Source organism: Homo sapiens, chromosome 14 (assembly GCF_000001405.40).
Source record: "Homo sapiens chromosome 14, GRCh38.p14 Primary Assembly".
NCBI lineage: Eukaryota > Metazoa > Chordata > Mammalia > Primates > Hominidae > Homo > Homo sapiens.
In genome coordinates, this window is record NC_000014.9 from 41,696,128 (window position 1) to 41,716,141 (window position 20,014).

The following is a 20,014-nucleotide window of genomic DNA, read 5'->3' on the forward strand; positions in this document are numbered from 1 at the left end:
AAAGAAATAGCAGGAGAACTAAAAATAGAAGTGGAGCCTGAAGATGTGACTAAATTGCTGCGATCTCATGATAAAACTTGAATGGATGAGGGGCTGCTTCTTATGGATGAGCAAAGAATGTAGTCTTTTCAGATGAAAAGTACTCCTGATGAAGATGCTGTGAACATTGTTGAAATGACAGTGGATACAGAATGTTACATAAACTTATTTGATTAAACAGTGGCAAGGTTTGAGAGGATTGATTCCAACTTTGAAAGAAGTTCTGTTGGTAAAATTTTATTAAGCAGCATCACATATTACAGAGAAATATTTTGTATATTCGTATAGAGCCAAATGATGCGGCATTATTGTCTAAGTTTAAGAAATTGCCACAGTCACTTTACCCTTCAGCAGCTACCTCCCTGATCATTCTGCAGACATCACAATCTGTTGATATCTATTCATTTGGATATATTCTCAGAAGAGCAATTGCTGGATTATATAGTAGTTCTAAGGTTAGTTTTTGGGGGACCTCCATAACATTTTCCACAATGGACTAACTAACTTATATTCCCACTAACAGTGTACAAGGAGTCCATTTTTCCTGCCTCCTTGCCAACACTTGTTATCTTTCATCTTTTTGAGAAAAGCCATTCTAACTGGTATGAGGTGACGTCTCATCGTGGCTTCAGTTTGCATTTCTCTAGTGACTAATGATGCCAGGCATGTTTCATGAACCTGTAGGCCATTTGTATGTGAAATTCTGAAAAGTGTTCACCACATTGTCCATAGTCTAATCAGATTATTTGTTTTCTAATGACATGCCTACCTTGAATCCTGGAGTAAACCACAAATAGTGATATTATTGGATTCAACATATTAATACTGTGTACACAGTTTTTGTATCTTTCAATTGTTAATCTGCACTTTTGATATTAGTAGTATTCTTATTAGGTTTTGGTATGAGAGTTATGATAACCTCCTAAAACTTGTTAAGTATTATTTTTCTTCAGTATTTTCTAATATAATTTTTATAGACATCGTTATTATTTCTTTCTTATAGATAGGTTTGATAAATTCACATATGAAGCCATCTGGGCATAGAATTTTATTTGTAGGAAGATTTTTCTATCCTTGCTTGAGGTTTATCAATTGCATTAATATTTTGAAGAAATTAAATTTTGCTTTTTAATTTTTTAATTTCTTTTGTTTCAAAAATAATACATTGTTACTATGTTTGCTTTACAAATCAATAATCTTTTAAAAATTATTCAAATCAGAAGTGGAAGTTAGTTTAATAATTTTGTTTCAGTACTTTATAATTACTGTTAGACATGTGTTAAAATATGCCATCATAATCATGGATTTGTCTATTTCTTCGAGTTTGGTCAATTTTTGATTAAATATCTTGAGACTGTCTTATTTAAAACAGAGATTTTGTTAATTTTAATATCTTTCATGTGGATTGACTTGTCCATATTAAGTCTACCTTTTTATTAAGAGTTTTGTATTAAACTGTATTAACTAATATGAATATAGCTTCACTGCTCTTTTTTTTTTTTTGATAGGAGAGTTTCTTGTTTCCATCTATTTATTTTCAACATTCCTATGTCCTCCTACTTAAGATATGACTATTACAAATAGCATATACTAGTTTTTAAAAGAATGTCTTTGTATTTTAAATGAAATAATGGTGTGTTTACATTTTATGTAGTTGATAATGTATTCATCCAATTTTATTTTATATCATAGATATAGTGAGTTATTAAAATATTTTTAGAAATTAAAAAATATGAGAGTTATAGAAGAAGTAGGCTATGTCACTGATGAAGGCAAGGGATGAGGTAGAGAAATCAGTCAGGAGATTGGTACAATTAATAGTTTGAGATGTTGCTATCCTAGGAATTATAGAGACTAGGGGAAAAATTGAACAGAATCCTGCACATGAAGGGGATAGTTGTAAACATTTTGTTTTAAAAAGGGAAGGGCTATAGATTTACACTTAGGTGCTGGACAAATTTAAGAAATGTGTAAAGCAACAAATTCCTATAAAAATATAGGGAAGGAATCAAAGATTACAGGAGAACCTGGATATATTACATCCAGAAATCCTTCCTCCTGGACTAGATGGTTTATATTATCAAATATGATAAAGCCTTCTTATTATTGAAGTGCGGTCCTAGAACAAGCAGCATTCACTTTCTCTAGGAGCCTGTTTAAAATGTGAAAATTTAGGCACTGCTCCAGGCCTACTATATCAGATTTTACATTAAATAATTGCCAAATGATGTTTTTTGCACATTGAATTTGAGCAATGTATGGAACACTGGTTCTCTACCTTATTTGCATATTAGTATCATCTGGGGAGCCTTTAGAAATACCATTGCCTGGGCCATACCCTAGACTAAATTGGAGCCTGTGGGTTTGGCACTCGGGTATCTATATGTTTAAAGCTCCCTAGGTGGTTCTCTTGTGCAGCCAAGGTTGAGATCCAGTGCTGTAGGCACATGGAAGAGAACAAAGCAAAACTACACAATTACTAAGAAATGGTGAGGATTTTAGAGACTGGATTCTAGTCTTTGTTGTTTCTTTGAGAGTTAATTCATTTATTCCCTATAAATCAATTTTATTTTTGTATATTTTAAAATTATATTTAGCAAATATGCTCTTTCAGTTCTAAAATTATGTGATTTTTCTGTCTATGGATTGTAATTTAGGAGATACTTGGCAAAATATAATAATGGGTGGTAATCATTGGTATAGGATTAATTTGTGTATGGTAAGAAAATGTGCTGACTGTAACTGTTCAGAAATTGAGTGAGCAGTAGTGATCAGAAAATTTAATTATATCAGAAACAGAAAAGCAATCAAAACTGGTTTGCAGAAATAAAAATAGATAAGCCAATAAATTTATGAGAGTGTAAGTTGAGATGAGTTTGAGAAAAGACAAAACAGGCAAAGTACATGACAGACTTGTAGAATTTTTTTTCATTTTTACCACTACAAAAGTGAGAAGAACATGATCAGTGCTTCTCGAACATTAACGTACAGAGGAATCGCCTGGAGATTTTTATTAAAATGAATATTCTTACCTTGTATGTCTCTGGGGTAGGTTATGAAATTCTGCTATTTAAATAAGGTTCTAGGTGATGAAATGCTTTTTCTGTGGGTCCACACTTACCGCAGCAAGGAGCTGGAACCTAGTTATCGCTAAAAGTAGTGCAAAGGTCTTGCTGCTCATGCATCTTTCTCAGTTGCCTTAGTAACTGCGCCTTTTCAGGATAAGACACAACTTATAAAATTCAAATGAAAATGAGATAAACTTCAGTGAGAGATAGAACAACATGTTAAAGGATTATGTGGAAGGAGTTTTGGGGGAGGAATTCCTGAAGTTCATAAAGATGAGACTACTTGAAGAAGAATTTGATTCCTCTCTAAAAAGATTAATAGAACTTACGAGCTTAGGAACTTAGAAGTTCAGCAGGACTGTTTTATCTGCAGCTGTCTTTGGTCATAGTCAATATAAAACTCCACATGCTTCACAAATGCGTTTACTCATCTGTTTATGTGACACTAACACTCCGTGGAAGAGATTGTTACAGGAGATAGAGTTATTGAGTCAACCCCAGACACTAATCAGGAACTGACTCCACTTTACATGGAGATATCATCAACAGAACATTTGAAAGTGTAGGTATTCAGGGAGCACTGAAGGAAATACAATAACATTAGAGTTGGAAGTAAACCATGCAGGGAGAAAAAGACCATTTTTTCTCTTTCAAGGATGAACAACTAAAACTGGTCGAGGAAAGTGTGTCAGAGGGCTCCTCCATCTTGAGAGAATAGGAGGAGGGGATATCTGCCAAGAATGAGAAAAAGAAATGAAGATTTACAACTCAGGAAAAAATGATCAGTAAAACATTACAAAGCCTTTTAAAGCAACGTGAAGATCTTGTTTGCTACTAGAAACATGAATTTGTGGCGGGCAAGGTACATGTTATTGTGCTGCAGCCCAGGGAAGGTAATGGAGAAGTAGGTGATTTTGTGTAGTGAGGGACTTGTGACCACTGTTGGTAATAGCACAGAACATAATTATGGAGGGGCAGTAAGGGTTACATGATAATAGTTGACTATTAATATTAGGAGAAGCGCAGGTAGCTAGAAAGGAACAAATGAGTTGAGTCAATTAGAAAGAAATTTAGTTTGAAGTTTTTGATGAATGTAAAGAGGCAAAAATGAATTACTTTGTGAGACATGGGGGCAAAAAAATATCTGAAACTTTGGGTTTGAAATATGCTATGTGATGACAAGTTACAAGGCATGGTTATATGAAGCGTAAACGAGTGATAGAGAGTGAATATGATCATCAATAGCATGAAGGAGAGAAGCTTTTCCTTTTTTAAAAACAGGATGATATGGGGTTTCACAATGTATTATTAGAGGTAGTATAGATGTCTGCATGTGTAAGACAGAAAAGAAAAGAGAAGAGAAGAAAAGAAAAGAAAAACAAAACATGCAAACCGGTTTTTGAACTTGTCGAGTAGGGAGAAAGTGGATCCTAGCTTTGAGGATTTGAAAAGAGGGATATAATCATAAAATCATAGAGTAATAGGTTTGGGAAGAAACTTAGAACTAATATTGTACAATACTATAACTTATAGATGAGGAAGATCATAACCAAGAGAGGAAATTTCTTGTCCAGAAACAGCTATCTCTTAGATAATGGTTGGGACTAGAATGCAAGGTAGTTAACCTCCCTTGTTCTTGGTAACAGTAAAGATGATGGCTGTGGTGGTAGTGATTTTGAACATAGTGGTGTAGGCATACATACCAAGAGCTTATTAAATAAGAAAACTTCGTTCCTAGCTAATACAAAATGGAAAGGTAAATTAATGTTTGGCTTTAATGCTCCCTCCAAAATGTTAGCTCTGTAAGGACAGGGGTTTTTCATCTCTTATTTCTTGGTAACATATCTGATTGAGTTAATACTCATTATATATTTGCAGAATACATGAATAAACACACCTTTTTAAAATTTAGAATATGTTGATCAATTAGATGCTATTGTAGAACTATGAGTCTGCTAAAGGGAATGTTATTTTATGAAGCATTTATCACTCCAAGTATTCACTAAGTATTGATGGACCATCAGAATACATAACACTTACTCAGCTCATAATATGAACCACATGCTGTACATACATTATTTTTTAGTCCTCGTAATAACTCTTGAAAGTAATTATTATACCAATGGGGACCTAAGCTTGTATTTAAACTGTCAATTTCTTACTGCTAGAGCTCAGACCAAAAATATATAGTGAACTTATTGGGCAGATGTTACAAAAGATAATTTGTGTGATAAAGTCTCTCTTGGGACAGAATACCTCTTTAAACAAAGAAGATGTCAGGCCGAAGTGGGTTCATCACAAAGCATTAATTGGTAAGTGGACGTTTCTGATTTGATAGATAAAAACCTGTCCCTGTCCCTGTCCTACCTGCATGAATATAGGTGTGCTTTATGGGCAGAGAAAAAGGCTGCTTCAATAAATGCTGTAATACACAGGGAAATGCAGAATGTGATAGGAAGAGAAACTCCACTATCTCACTTGACACAGATCACCAAGAGGACTCGTTGTTGAGAAGGCTCAGGATGATGGTGACAGCATCATGAATATCAAAGGGAAAAGTGGAGATTAGCACTACTTTGAAAGTTGTGACCTTTTAAACTTGGCTGATGGATCAACAGCATTAGCATCACCTAGAAGCCTTTCAGAAAAGCGGAACCTCAAGCCCAACCCCTGATTTACTATTAGGAATCTGCATTTTAACAAGCTCCCCATCCTAAAGTATGAGGAGCACTGGTAGGTAGTGCTTTGGGCTAAGCAGTTAGTTGGAGCAGAACCTCCTGGAGCAGTAGCAATATTAGAAATAGGAGACTTGCCCAGGACTAAGCATAGGACTTATTCTGAAGATCATGTACTGATTAGGTAGATGAATACAGACCCAATGTGAGCAAATGAGAGAGAATTTAAATAAAATCCTGCTAATTGCTATTAGCATGACTCCATCTGTAAGTACAAGTTAGTGAAGCCTAGGTAAATTGAGGTTTTTGTCTGTGTTACAAATGAGGACACCAAGACTCAGAGAAGTTAAGTAGCTTGCTCAAGGTGGCACATGCAGGGAATCCATGAAGCGACATACAAGGATGCTGAAGTGAAATACAGTTCACACTTCTAAATTAAATCAATAGGAAGCCACTGGCACCATACATTGTATACTTTCAATAATTCTGGTTATAATTAAAGCAGCTTCTATTCAAGGGCTGAATGTGATTCTTCTTGTTGGTGGTGAAGGTTTTGTTTGTTTGTTTTTTAGAGACAGGGTCTCGCTCTTTCACCCAGGGTGGAGAGCAGTGACACAATCGTAGCTCATTACACTCTCAAACTCCTGGGTTTCAGGGATTCTCCTGCCTCAACCTCCCAGAGAGCTGGCTCTACAGGAACATGCCACTGCGCCAGCTAATTTTTATTTTTTATTTTTTTGAGATGGGGTTTTGTTGTGTTGCACAGGCTGATCCTGAACACCTGACCTAGAGCCATCCTCCTGCTTGGGCCTCTCAAAGCTCTGGGACTATAGACATGAGCCACTAAACCCAGAATGAATGTGTTTTATAAGCATAATCACACTAATTTCTACAGTACTTTCTGGAGATAAGGATATACACTACTACTTAAACAATATATATTTTCTATCTCTCAGTTAAGAGAGAGAAAGAAGTTGGTGAAGCAGTACTGAACTCCCTCCTGAGGCTAAAATAGTTCAAAGTGTATTTTTACCTGTATCTTTTAAAACCATGGCACCCCTTTATCACTTTCAAATTCGAATGTGTGACAATTATTAAAAGATCCTTTTAGCTCTCCTGGTAAAAATGAAAGAGGAATGAAATGAAAATTCAGATTTTATAAACTAGGAATATTTTAAGACTGCAGTGTAGCTATCAAAGTCTGATGATAATGTCTGTATTTATCTACAAATGGAATATCGTTGTTTAGTTAATTAGAAATTAAACAATTTAATTAATTTAATTCTTCAGTTAATTTCTTCCAGCCCTTTAAATATAGTAATATTTGATGATGGGTTCTAATTTACATAGCATGTGCATATGTTATAAGGACACATTTAGTAAAATTAATGGTTTCTTCAAAAATAGCTTTTTTTTCTTGGAAGAGAAGATTTCTATAAACAAACATTGGACTTTTTCCTTTTATTTTTCCTGAAAAATCAAGACCCATGAAGTGACAACATTTTGTCAGCTTGTAAAAAACTGCATTAATTATTCCATTCTGACTATTTAATCAGTTTTCTCAGTTTTCCTTTTAAACTTATTCTATTAAACAGAATGGCCTTCAGAGCAATGACAGGTAAGACAGTGTTTTTTTTTGTTTGTTTTTTGTTTTTTTCCCAGCAAAAGTGTTTTCTTTAAAAAGGCTGCCACACACATCAGTTTTTGCTCCTTGTTTTCTTTCTTTTGGGAGAATAACTATTTATAAATAATTGCCTACAATAATGTGCACATTCTCAGAGTAAATGCCCCAGATTTGATGATCATTTCATGGTAACCCTTTGAAAATCAGCACATTTGCCTTCAAAGATGATAGTGTCAGGTGGTACAATAAATGTAAGTATTTTATCAGCATTATTGTAACAATTTTGTATCACACCTTGATAGTGTAGATTTGTTTTCTTTGGGGACTTTGACTTTCATGTATCTTCTTTTAATGGGACTTAATACTCATATTTAACAATGTCAAGCAGAGCATAAGGATGGAGAAAATCTTCAAAATTCTGTGTCTGACTTGCTTATCACTCCGATCTAGGTAGCTCCATTATTTACCCCAGAATTTTTTACCCTGTCAATATGACCTTCTATATTCTAGACTCAAGGAGATCATATCTCCACAAAAAGAAGCTGAAGGACAATAATGTTTTTAAAAGAAGTGTGTGGGCTAACAGTGGCCAAAACAGACCTTTACCAGTGGCTACTGCATTGCGCTTATTTGAATTTAAATGAATGCTTTTCCAAATATATTTCTCTAATATGGAGGCCATCTTTAGACATCAGCAGCCAGAGCTGTAGTTGGGGAATTATTTATAACTTCCAGAGTAGCCACGTGATTTCCCTTTCTCTCTTTTCCCTGGCATTGTCTCATCATCTCATTACTTTACCTCTGGCCTTGTATTGCTTGTACCTCACTTTCAGTGAGAATTTGACCTCCATTTTCTAGACTTATTGTTATACTTTTCTCTCTCTCTCTCTCTCTCTCTCTCTCTCTCTCTCTCTCTGTGTGTGTGTGTCTGTGAGATTTGAAGTCTCACTATGTTGCCCAGGCTGCAGTGCATTGGCTATTCACAGGCAATCATAGTGTACCACAGTCTTGAACTCCTGAGCCCAAGCCATCATCCTGCCTCAGCCTCCCAAGCGGGTGGAACTACAGATGCGTGCCACCACACCTGGATAGACTTATTTTTATAGTTGTCATTATTTTTCCTATCCACATGTCAAAATATATTATCACTTATTGTACTAGTTGCAGAGGTGTTTCTTAGCTTTGTGTTTTTTTGAAAGTGAAGGATCATGCCACTTTCCTATTATCGTTCCTTAGTTGTATATACAACAGGAAATAAGTATCTTTTAAAGATATTTTGGGAGAGGAAATAAAGAAGAAACCTATTATGTTAGCTGGAATATATTATACATCTCTGGAGAAATAAACTTATTGTAAGCAATTAGGTTTCTGGATTCTACCTGCTCATCTTCCAAATGCTCTTAAAGAATAAAAGATAAAAATGAGATACAGTTTAATGATGTGATGTATGTAGGCTAGTCAGCTGTATCACTCACTCATTAATTATAAGGATAAGTTATTATGTGGCTTTACTGGTTCACTTGTTTGTTTCTAGGAGCACTTAAATACTAAAATGTACCATTTTTCAAAAGGAGAGAGTAACAATTTTTCATATAAATTAACTAATATAATTGCAAATGAGCCTCAAAATCTATTTGGTGAAAATGCAAAAATAAAAAAAAAATCCCCAAACTAAACAATGTAACACACTACTCTGCGCAGTGCTATGGCCTCAGTTGCTTTCTTAGAGACAACAAAGATACTAAAGTGACATAAATACTAATGTCACCACAGCTGCCAGTTCTCCAAGTACCTTGTTCTAGATTGTGAAAATTCTTGAGGTGACTAAGGTAATTTTTGAATTGTTTTGAAATGATAATATTACAATTTGAAATTAAGGAACATATATGAAATAATACATACTATTTTGCATTATAAAATATTTTAGTAATTGTGAAATGCCATTAATATTTTGGTGATTACTCTTACGTCATATGCACATATACATAAGCATGCACACAGACAGACATAAAAATGATAGGATCATATAAGACATTGTATAGACTGTTTTATGATAGGGTAATACACTTTTCTTTTCTTTTTCTTCTTTGTCCAGCTCTTCTGTTCTTTATCCATATCATACTCTATCCCTACTCAAGGTAACCTAGCAACATGTTTATAGTTCCATATGTCTCATTATGCTCATATGTCATTTACATGGTATTTTATATACAGGGTTTACACATTTATAGTAAACGATCTTTATATAGTTTATACAATATCTGTTTTTCTTTTCTCTGCAATACAAACGTGTTTCATATCCCTCAAACACACCCACACCCCTCACTTACACATGTGTTATCACTGTTTGCTTTTGTAAACTTGTGTTCAACGTATACACATTAATCATTTAAGCATACCTTGTGGAAATCCTGCCAACTTGACTACTGTGCCTCCAATTTCTTCCTTTTTATCCCATCATAATAAACCTGGCAATAATTGATTCAACCATATGCACATTGATATCACTTATGCTGTTTGTTTATTTTTACTACTACAAACATGCTACAACAAAGTTCCGGAACTTTTTTTTTTGTTTTTTTTTGACACAGAGTTTTGCACTTGTTGCCCAGGCTGGAGTGCAATGGTGCGATCTTGGCTCACCGCAACCTGCACCTCCCAGGTTCAAGCGATTATCCCACCTCAGCCTCCTGAGTAGCTGGGATTACAGGCATGTGCCATCACGACTGGCTAATTTTGTATTTTTAGTAGAGACAGCGTTTCTCCATGTTGGCCAGGCTGGTCTTGAACTCCCGACCTCGGGTGATCCTCCAACCTCGGCCTCCCAAAGTGCTGGGATTACAGGTGTGAGCCACCATGTCCGGCCGTTTCTGTACTTTATCCTAAAAATTTTAGTGCTTTTTTTAAAATTTTTTATTTTTTATTTTTTATTCTTCAATGGAATAGATTCCCAGGAGAGGGCTTATTGAGTCAAAGATTCTGTTTATATTGTCAGTCTGACTTTTAAAAAGCCTATCAAAATCCACATTCCTTTATTCATATGTGAGTATGTCTTCTCACTCAGGCCATCTGTAGTTATTATCATTCATTTAAATTTATACCAGTCTATGTGATGGATGTTATCTAATATCTTAGTGTTGTTTTAATTTTATATTGAGCATCTTTTTATGTGTTTGCGGGCTTTTGTTTTGCTTTCATATGAATATTTTTCCTTTTGTTAAGTAGAGCTAGATTTAGTTGCATTAAATAAAACACTGTAAATAATAGTATGTAAAGCCATATAGAAAGATAAGTTTCTGTTATAAAAGAGATCTAGATGTTAGCAGTGCCTATAATGGTGGCTTTCTACTATAACCTGGGTCCTGGGTCCAGTCTGTGTTCTGTTGTGCTTAGCATCTTTTACCTGATCCACGAAAATGGGCTGGAACTTTAACCATTAAATCTACATCCCTGGCATGTAGAGACAGGAGGAGGAAAAGGAGGTGCACTTGCTCCCTCCCTTTAAAATAAATCTTCCCTAAATGCACAAATTTGTTCTGCCTGCCTATATAGTATTAACTGGAAGGTAGGTACTGCCACAAATAATTACAATATAGTTTATGAAGTGTAGTGTTTTACATTGTTGGAAGAAGGCCTGCCTTAAATGCAATTTTATCTTACTAAGGTGGAAGGCAAGAATATACATTAGGAGGTCAGAGGCATTCTCTGCCATGCTTATCCTTTTCCTACATTACTATTGGATTATCTGTCTTATTTATTAAATTTTGGGTACTACCTGCTACTGTCAAATCTGTCTTTTTCCTCTTAAGTTTTATGTTTTGGTTAAGAATTCTTCCCAAGTCACTGAATGAATATGATAATATCATGTTTCTAAGATGATATATTGCTTTATTTTGCATAATCAATCTTTGTATATTTTTACAAATAATGTGATGAAAGGATTTAAATTAGATTTTGTCTGTATGGCTATTAAGTATGTTAGCATTAGTAAATGATGAAACTCATCATGCTTTTCTCACTAAATTGAAATATGAACCTTGCCACTTACTTTACTTTTATATATACTAAAATATACTTCTGGACTTTCTCTCTTAATCTATTTTCTGTTATTCTGTCAGTACAATACTAATTTAAATTAATTATTTTCAAGTGTTAGCAAACTAGAGCACATTGACGAATGCAACCCCCTGCTTGATGTTTGTAAATAAAGTTTTATTGGAACTTACTCATGCCTCTGTTCATTTGCATATCATCTATGGCTGCTTTTGGACTACATTGGTAGAGCTCAATGGTTATATATTGCCCCAAAGACTAAAATATTAACTGTTAATTCTTTTACACAAAAGTTTCTTGGCCCCTAAATGACTAGTTAATGAGGGAAGGTATTGACCTAATTAAAAGATGTTCAAAAACTAAATACCTGCTAATGTCTAAATATTTATACATGTTAACTGTTTTGAGCAATAAATAAGATGACATATATATGCCAATACAAATTAAACTATTAACAAATTATCAAAACCAATTTTTGATATTAAAACAGATGATGAATTAAGTACCAAAATGTACAGTAAAGTATTTCATATTAGTACTTTTTCCATATTCATAAAGTTTTTATTTTTGGGAAGACATTTCTCTTAGGGATTATATCATATTGCATATTAAATATTTTTGTTATTTTGATTGCCGGAAACTTTAAACATACATTTAAAATACAGTATAATAAATGCCAAGTACACATTATCCACCTTCAATAATTATCACCAAATGGCTAATCTTATTCATTCATCTGCCTCTTCTCATTCAACAACTTAAAATATTTATCTCTAACATTGTATTATTTCATCTGTAAATATTTGAGCATTCATTGCTAAAGATTAAGAACTTTTAAAAACAAACCTGTGATACTATTATCAGGCTTAAAAAGCTACTATTACCTTATTAATATAATCAAATATCTAATCACTGTTCAAATTTCCGTATTTGCTTCATAAAGGTTCTTTTCATGATTGTTCTTCTAATCAAGATTCAAATAAATTCCAAGAATTACAATTAGTTGATGTTTCTGAAGTATCTTCAAGTCTATGAATTTTCATTTCCCACCTCCCTTGCCAGGAATTCCTTGAAGTAAGTAGGCTGCTTTGTTCTATATTGATCCCTCCCATTATGGATTTTGCTGAATTCCTTTTTTTTTTTACGTTTTGTTATTGATTGTATTTCCTGTGGACTAGTAGCTAGATACAAGATACAGAGGCTTGATAAGATTTAGATTCACATTTTAAAATCAATATTCTTCATAGATAGCGTTGTGTACTTCCAACTGTTTTTATCAGGAGGTACATTGTGTCTGGTTTATCTTAAGAATTGAGCTTTCATGTATTGTGAGCCTAACACATGTGTTAAAAACGTATCCATCTGGTGTTCCCTAATGATATTTTGAGCATTATTTGAGAGTCATTATTCATTAGGATATGAACGTGGTGATATTCTAGGTTTATTTTTCTTTCTTTATTTCTTAGCTGTAAGTCTTCTAGAAAGTAAAACTCGTACCAACTGTTTCTTCCACTTAGGCACAGTTCATGTAACTGTAAGTTTGATTATTTTCCTTTGTTTGCTGGTTTTCAGAATATCTTGGTTTCCTAGCATCAAACATAATATATATTTTATTTTATTTTATATCTGTTGGATTGATTGCCTATTGAATATCAATATGCTGAAATTAACACAAATTTGGCTAGTGAAAGATTCCTTTGGTTGTTTCCTAATTTCTTTTGAGTGGAACTCAGAAGACTTCCTTGCTTATATGGCAAAATGAGATGACCTAACCTGCTCTGTACATTTTTGGACCCAGACTTGGAATTCTGTTATATTTTTGAGGACTAGAACTTGAAATCACTTCTCATTTTTCACACTGTTTATTAAAGATGTTGACAGGGAAATACTTCATACATTTATTTTCCCATGTATTAATTCCTTTTTTATATTTTGCTTCAAATATTTTCCTAGTCATATTTTAAGCCTATTGAATATCTTACCTGCCAGTCCTTTTTATAGCATTAACTGTGGTGTGGAATTTCTCTTTGTATGTGAAGAATGACACTGTATGTCACCCATCTTAATTTATCTGTTTTATTTTATTTACTTGTATCTTCCTGGAATTTTATTTTAATTTTAGGAACATATAGCCAAAAAGCCAAAATAGCATAATAGGAAATATAAAAGATAATATAAGCTTATTTTGAGTTAATATTTTGTCAATAGTAAAAAGTAGATTTGTCTCAATTTTACCTAAATAGAAAAATATAATATTTTACTCCAATATAAAAATTCAAAGGAAAATAAAATGTATTGCAGCTTAAGTGACTTTACTATAGATGTAAATATACCTAAATAAACAACCACCATCAAATAAAAAGCATCAAACAATAATATTGAAATCCAGGGCCTGTATTCAGTTTTTTTTTCTCTGAGCATAGACTAACTGGCGTGTTTCACACTTAATTATTACCTATTCTAAATTCAAATATCATGATAGAATATATTGTTGTCTTTTAAATAAATGTAGTATAATTTACAGCTCTTGAAGACTGTAGATCAAGGTTGTTTACAGGCAAAACTTTTAAAGCAATAATATGAATGTATTGGATTATTGTGTTCCAATATAATACTGCAAGAAAGTATCAATACATTTTCTTTGGTATTAGTATGAAACAATTTTAGATACTGACCAAGAGTCTCAGTCTCCAAACATTTTGAAAGGACTTCAAATTAATGAAATTTCATTAGTGGCATACTCTTGCATCATGGCTTATTAAAGTTACTTCAGGAATAAGTTTTTAAAAGCATTTAACATATTTTTCTTAATCTTTTTTGAAATACCTAACGTGGTTATATCTTTTCAAATATGTATTCAGTAGAGGGTTTCCTGTTAATGTAGGTGTGTTTTTTGTTAATGTAGAGTAACAGCATAAGATACTGTTTTATGAAGATAATAGTAGTTCATTTTGTTATAACTAACAAGATTTCTTGATCTACTTTAGATTGAAAAAGGGATAAAACAAATTAAAACATATATATTTTTTATTTTTAAATTTTTTAAATTATACTTCAAGTTCTAGGGTACATGTGCACAACATGCATGTTTGTTACATATGTATACACATGCCAAGCTGGTGTGCTGCACCCATTAACTCGTCATTTACATTAGGTATATCTCCTAATGTTATCCCTCCCCCGTCCCCCGACCCCACGACAGGCCCCGGTGTGTGATGTTCCCCTGCCTGTGTCCATGTGTTCTCATTGTTCAATTCCCACCTACGAGTGAGAACATGTGGTGTTTGGCTTTCTGTCCTTGCGACAGAATGATGGTTTGCAGCTTCATCCATGTACCTACAAAGGACATGAACTCATCTTTTTTTATGGCTGCATAGTATTCCATGGTGTATATGTGCTGATGCATTTTTCATCTGACTTGCATATTTAGATAATCAATAATTTGATGACTCCACTCTGAAAATCACTCAAAATAGTAATTGAAACTATGTATTTAAATTATATCCATGAGTTTCTCTCTGTCAAGAAAGAAGACTAGATATCCTGAAGAAACATCTTACTACAAAGATGAAAAAAATGGTCTTAAATAGGCAATACATATGTACACCCACACACATACGCACACGCATGCACACATATTTTCAGGAATCGAATGAGTATTGACTAAGGCATAAAAGGCAAGTGAAAATAGGAAGCTAGAGCTGTATAAAAACTATAAAGTAGTCATAGAAGACGTTGAGCTTATTTTGTTTGATGGGTACATGGTGCAGAGGACAGGGTACAAAGCCAGGGCACATGTAGATGAGGGTCTCATAGGAGTTGCCTATATAAAGCCAGCCCTGGAGAGTAACATCTTACTGAATCATAGAGATAAGAAAAATGTTCTACATAGAAGGGGAGAAAAACACAGAGGACATATGTATATATCTCCTGAGAATTCAAATCTCCCCATCATGTAGAATAGATTTGGGACCTGAATATTCTGTACTTCTTGTTCCAAATAATCTTAAGCTGTAAATTACTTTTAATGTAGTCCCAGGTTTGTAGTGTTTAATGGATAGCTTGCAGAAGCAATCACAGTTTCTTTCTAAAGAAAACCTTAAAAAGAAGATTCCGTTTCACAGATAAACTGTTATTAATGTAAAATCACAGGAATACATCTGAAAACATAAAAAAACGCATTATGAATAAGACAATACAACCAAGAAGAAGTCAAAGAAAACAGAATTAGACTCTCCATGTTCTTAGATTTTGGAATGATAATTCTGGAATATAAAACCGTTTTGTGTGTGTGCATGTGTATGCACACATATATATGAATCAAAATGATGCTTAGGAATTGTATACTATGAAAAATTGCCATGAGGATTAGGAAAAGAGCTAAATGACACTTCATTAAATGAAAAATAATGTTGTAATTAAAAATCCATCCAACAGCAGATTAGACACAATAGAAGAAAGAATTGTTGAAGTTGACGAGAACGGAAGAAATGATACAACAAGAAGTGGAGGTAATATCGGGGAATATGCAAGAAAGACTGAGACACATGAGGGACAGCTTGAGATAATCTAATATATGTCAAAACAGTCTTATAAACAGATCAGGTACATCTCTTTTAAAAATTATATTGTCTTTCAAGACAGGATTAAAAACTCTGTAAGATTTATAATTTTCATTAAGAAAAAGGTTTTGGGCCAGGCGCAGTGGCTTACACCTATAATCCCAGCACTTTGGGAGGCTAAGGTAGGAGGATTGTTTGAGGCCAGGAGTTCGAGACCAGCTTAGGCAACCTAGTGACATCTCTATGACATAGACATCTCTATGACAAAGAAAAAATAAAAGGTAAAACGTTCTGAATTTTGCGTTAGTTTTGTATCTAGATATCTTCTTCTAAAATTGATCCACAGATTAAATGTCATTCCAAACAAAAGGATAATAGGTTTTGTTATATAACTTGGCAATTCTAAAATTAATATGTAAAGAGAAAGGATCAAAAATAGCCAAGACATATTTCTTTTTAAATGAACAGGTTTAGGTATTCTACCAAATCACAACAATTTTTATATAACCTAAGCAAGAAAGAGAAGGTGATTACTATGAAGTTTGCATAAGACATCTTAAAACAGGCTATTTTATGCTAATAACAGCTTAAATTTGATCTCATGCCCAAACTTTCCACTTTTGCTGCTCCTCCCATTTTGAAGTTTAAAATAATAGATTTAAAATTTTTTTCTCCAGAAAAGATGTGTGGTGATGAATATGTTAATTGTCTCGATTTAATCTGGTACAATGTATAGATATATCACAGCATTACATTTTACTCCACAAATATATGTAATTATTATTTTCCATGAAAAATAAAATAAAACAAATGTAAAGAGAAATATAATTTATAAAAGGAAAATAAAAGCCTGTGGTATTAACAAGGAAATATTCATGGAAGAGTCTGATTAAAAAAAGAGAGTCTACAAACAAATCTATGCAGATATGAAAACTGTATATCATAGAAATGTCTTTGCAGATTAGTGGGAAAGAATGGATTATTAAGAAAGCTGTAGAACCAGCTACTGAATGTGCATGTGAAAATATTTGAAAATGACTACAGTAATCCAAAATCAATTCCAGCTAAAGACTTAAATGTGCAAAACAGTCTGTTAGTAATTTCAAAGTAAATAATGGGAGAGTCTTCATAATGTAAGGGAAAATTTTAGGCAACATATTAACAATAAATAGTAAAGAAAAATGTGTGCAAACCATGGAAAGCAGTACTGAGAAATTAGACTCTTGTACAATTAAGATTTTTAAACATATATTTGATAAAGTACATCTAGTACAAAGACAATCTATAAACTTGTCTTTATTAACATAAAACTGAAGATATATGTAACACATAAAATTGAAATGAGTAGTATTGAGGTATACAAAAAAATCTATATACAATCTAAAATCTCCAGAATCTCAGTGTGAAATAGTCAAAAGGCATAAAGATGTATTTGCCAGAAGAGGAAAGAAGAACGATCAATAAACCTATAGAAGTACTTTCAATGTTATTGGTAATCAGAAAATTAAAAATTAAGAACGAAGTGAGATACCATTTCAAATATACCATATTGGCAAACTGTTAATCATTTATAATCAAGTTACAGTGTGTAGAGAACATTAATAATTTTGCCTGCTGATGAGAGGTAAATTGATACAATCTCTTCCTGAAACAATTTGTCATTATCTTTTAAAGTTGAGTGTGTTCATGCCTTATAACTTCATATATTCAGTTGTAGGAATGTAATAATTCCAGATAAATTTTTCTTAATGTGAGTTAGAAAAGAAGGTTCATGCCTGTATTTCTTGTAGCATCAGCAGGTTACAATCAAATGCCCACTGTCAGAGCAATTAATATGTAAATGGAGTTGTATTTTAAAAGGCAATGTCATGCAGCAGTTAAAATGAAACATAACTACATGCATAAATATGCAAAACTAAATTATATAAGAGAAATGGCATTATGTGTATCCTTTGTATGGCAATCATACCTCAATAAATTAAGGAAAAAAAGAAATGGAAAACATAAGATTTTTAAAAGTGCTTACTTTAAGTGGATGGGATATGGAATTCAAAGGAACAGAGACTTGAGAATCATAATTATCATCCTCTTTAGTTGATATTTAGAGGGATACTTCTTTCTCTTTCTCTTGGCTGCCCACATAAATTTGGTCATGCTTCTCCTCAAGGACTTACATTAAATCATGAGATTTGCTTAGATGAATCAACATATTATTTACCCCCAAAGCACAAAACATAATACTTGACATATAATTATCATACAAGAATTGTTACTGAACTATATAATAGTCTATTATTACTTCAAAATTATGCATGGTTAACAAAATTGGATTAATTTTTTCCCTTTGCTGTAGTGAACTGGTAAGGTTTTATTTACTATAATCAGAACTAATTTAATTGGACAGACGTGTGCTATTTTCTGATGTGTGGAGAACATTGGTATTTTAGATTTTTTTAGTCAAAGATGCTAAAAATCAGCTGGATGTGGTGGCTCATGCCTGTAATCTCAGCACTTTGGGAGGCCAAGGCAGGCAAATTGCTTGAGCCCACAAGTTCAAGACCAGCCTGAGCACATGGCAAAACCCCATCTCTACAAATAATGTAGAAATTAGCTAGGAGTGGTTGTGCACACCTATAGTCCCAGCTACTCAGGAGGCTGAGGCAGGAGTGTTGCTTAAGCATAGGAGGTTCAGGCTGCGGGGAGCTGTAATGATGCCACTGCACTCCAACTTGGGTGACAAAGTAAGACCCTATTTTTTTAAAAAAAAGTGCTGAAAAATCATTACGACTTTTTAGAATGTTTCATTTCAAGAGTTCTGGGCAACATAGTCCTCAAACTTTGAAAAAAACATAGAATGTTAAAGGGTTTTATAAAATGGTGGTGGTGGAAGGTATGCAGAGGCAGGCAGATTTCCAAGATCCTTATATCCAAGAGTAACATATCCATGAATTAAAGGAATTTGTATATTAAGGTATATGAACATAGAGAGAAAATTGAAACAAATTGGAGAGAAAACATCTTCAAAATCTTGTGCTATCTCTAATGCGTGAGACTGCATTACCATTTTGAAATGACTTATTTAAAAATCAAAGAGGGATTCTTTAAGACCACTTCTTTGGCATTATTTTATTTTTGATCTTATATCCTTCCTTTGTATTGAGTCACCAGAAATTCTATCATTTGATCCAATAATGTGGAATGTTTAACATTTTGAAGAGGTTTCAATTAGGTTAACAATGTAGAACATTCTATGGTTCCATATGAAAGGTCAGAATTCCAACTCTGCCTCTCTGTTCTTTTTAAACCTCTTCCTTTAACAAAAATACCTTATGTGGTATCTCACCTTAACTTTAATTTTCAGATGGACACTTTTTTCAGAAGCAAAGGAGTTTGCTTTCTCTGTGCCTTTGTTCCTTTTCTGCTGCTATAACAGAATACCACAGACTGGGAAATTTATAAGGAAAATAAGTTTATTCAGCTCACATTTCTGGAGGTTGGGAAGTACAAGAGCATGCCCCCGTTGCTTTGCAGGGTACAGTCTCCCTCCTGGCTGCTTCCACAGGCTGACATTGAGTGTCTGTGGCTTTTTCAAGTGCATTGTGCAAGCTGTCGTTGGATCTATCATTCTGGGGTCTGGAAGACAGTGGCCCTCTTCTCATAGCTCCACTAGGTGGTACTCCAGTAGGGACTCTGTGTGGGGGCTCTGACCCCACATTTCCCTTCCACACTGCCCAAGCAGAGGTTCTCCATGAGGGCCCTGCCCCTGCAGCAAACTTCTCCCTGGGCATTCAGGCGTTTCCATACATCTTCTGAAATCTAGGTGGAGGTTCCCAAACTCCAGTTCTTGACTTCTCTGCACTGGCAGGCTCAACACCACGTGGAAGCTGCCAAGGCTTGAGGCTTGCACCCTATGAAGCCACGGTCTAAGCTCTACCACAACTGGAGCAGCTGGTACACAGGACACCAAGTCTCTAGGCTGCACACAGCACGGGG

General features: G+C 33.8%; 1 protein-coding gene across 6 annotated transcripts in view; it reads left to right on the top strand.

The window, feature by feature from the left end:
* The window catches only part of LRFN5 (leucine rich repeat and fibronectin type III domain containing 5), a 297,674-nt gene that overhangs the window by 89,252 nt on the left and 188,408 nt on the right, over window positions 1–20,014 (top strand). The gene's annotated exons all lie outside the window — the stretch shown is intronic.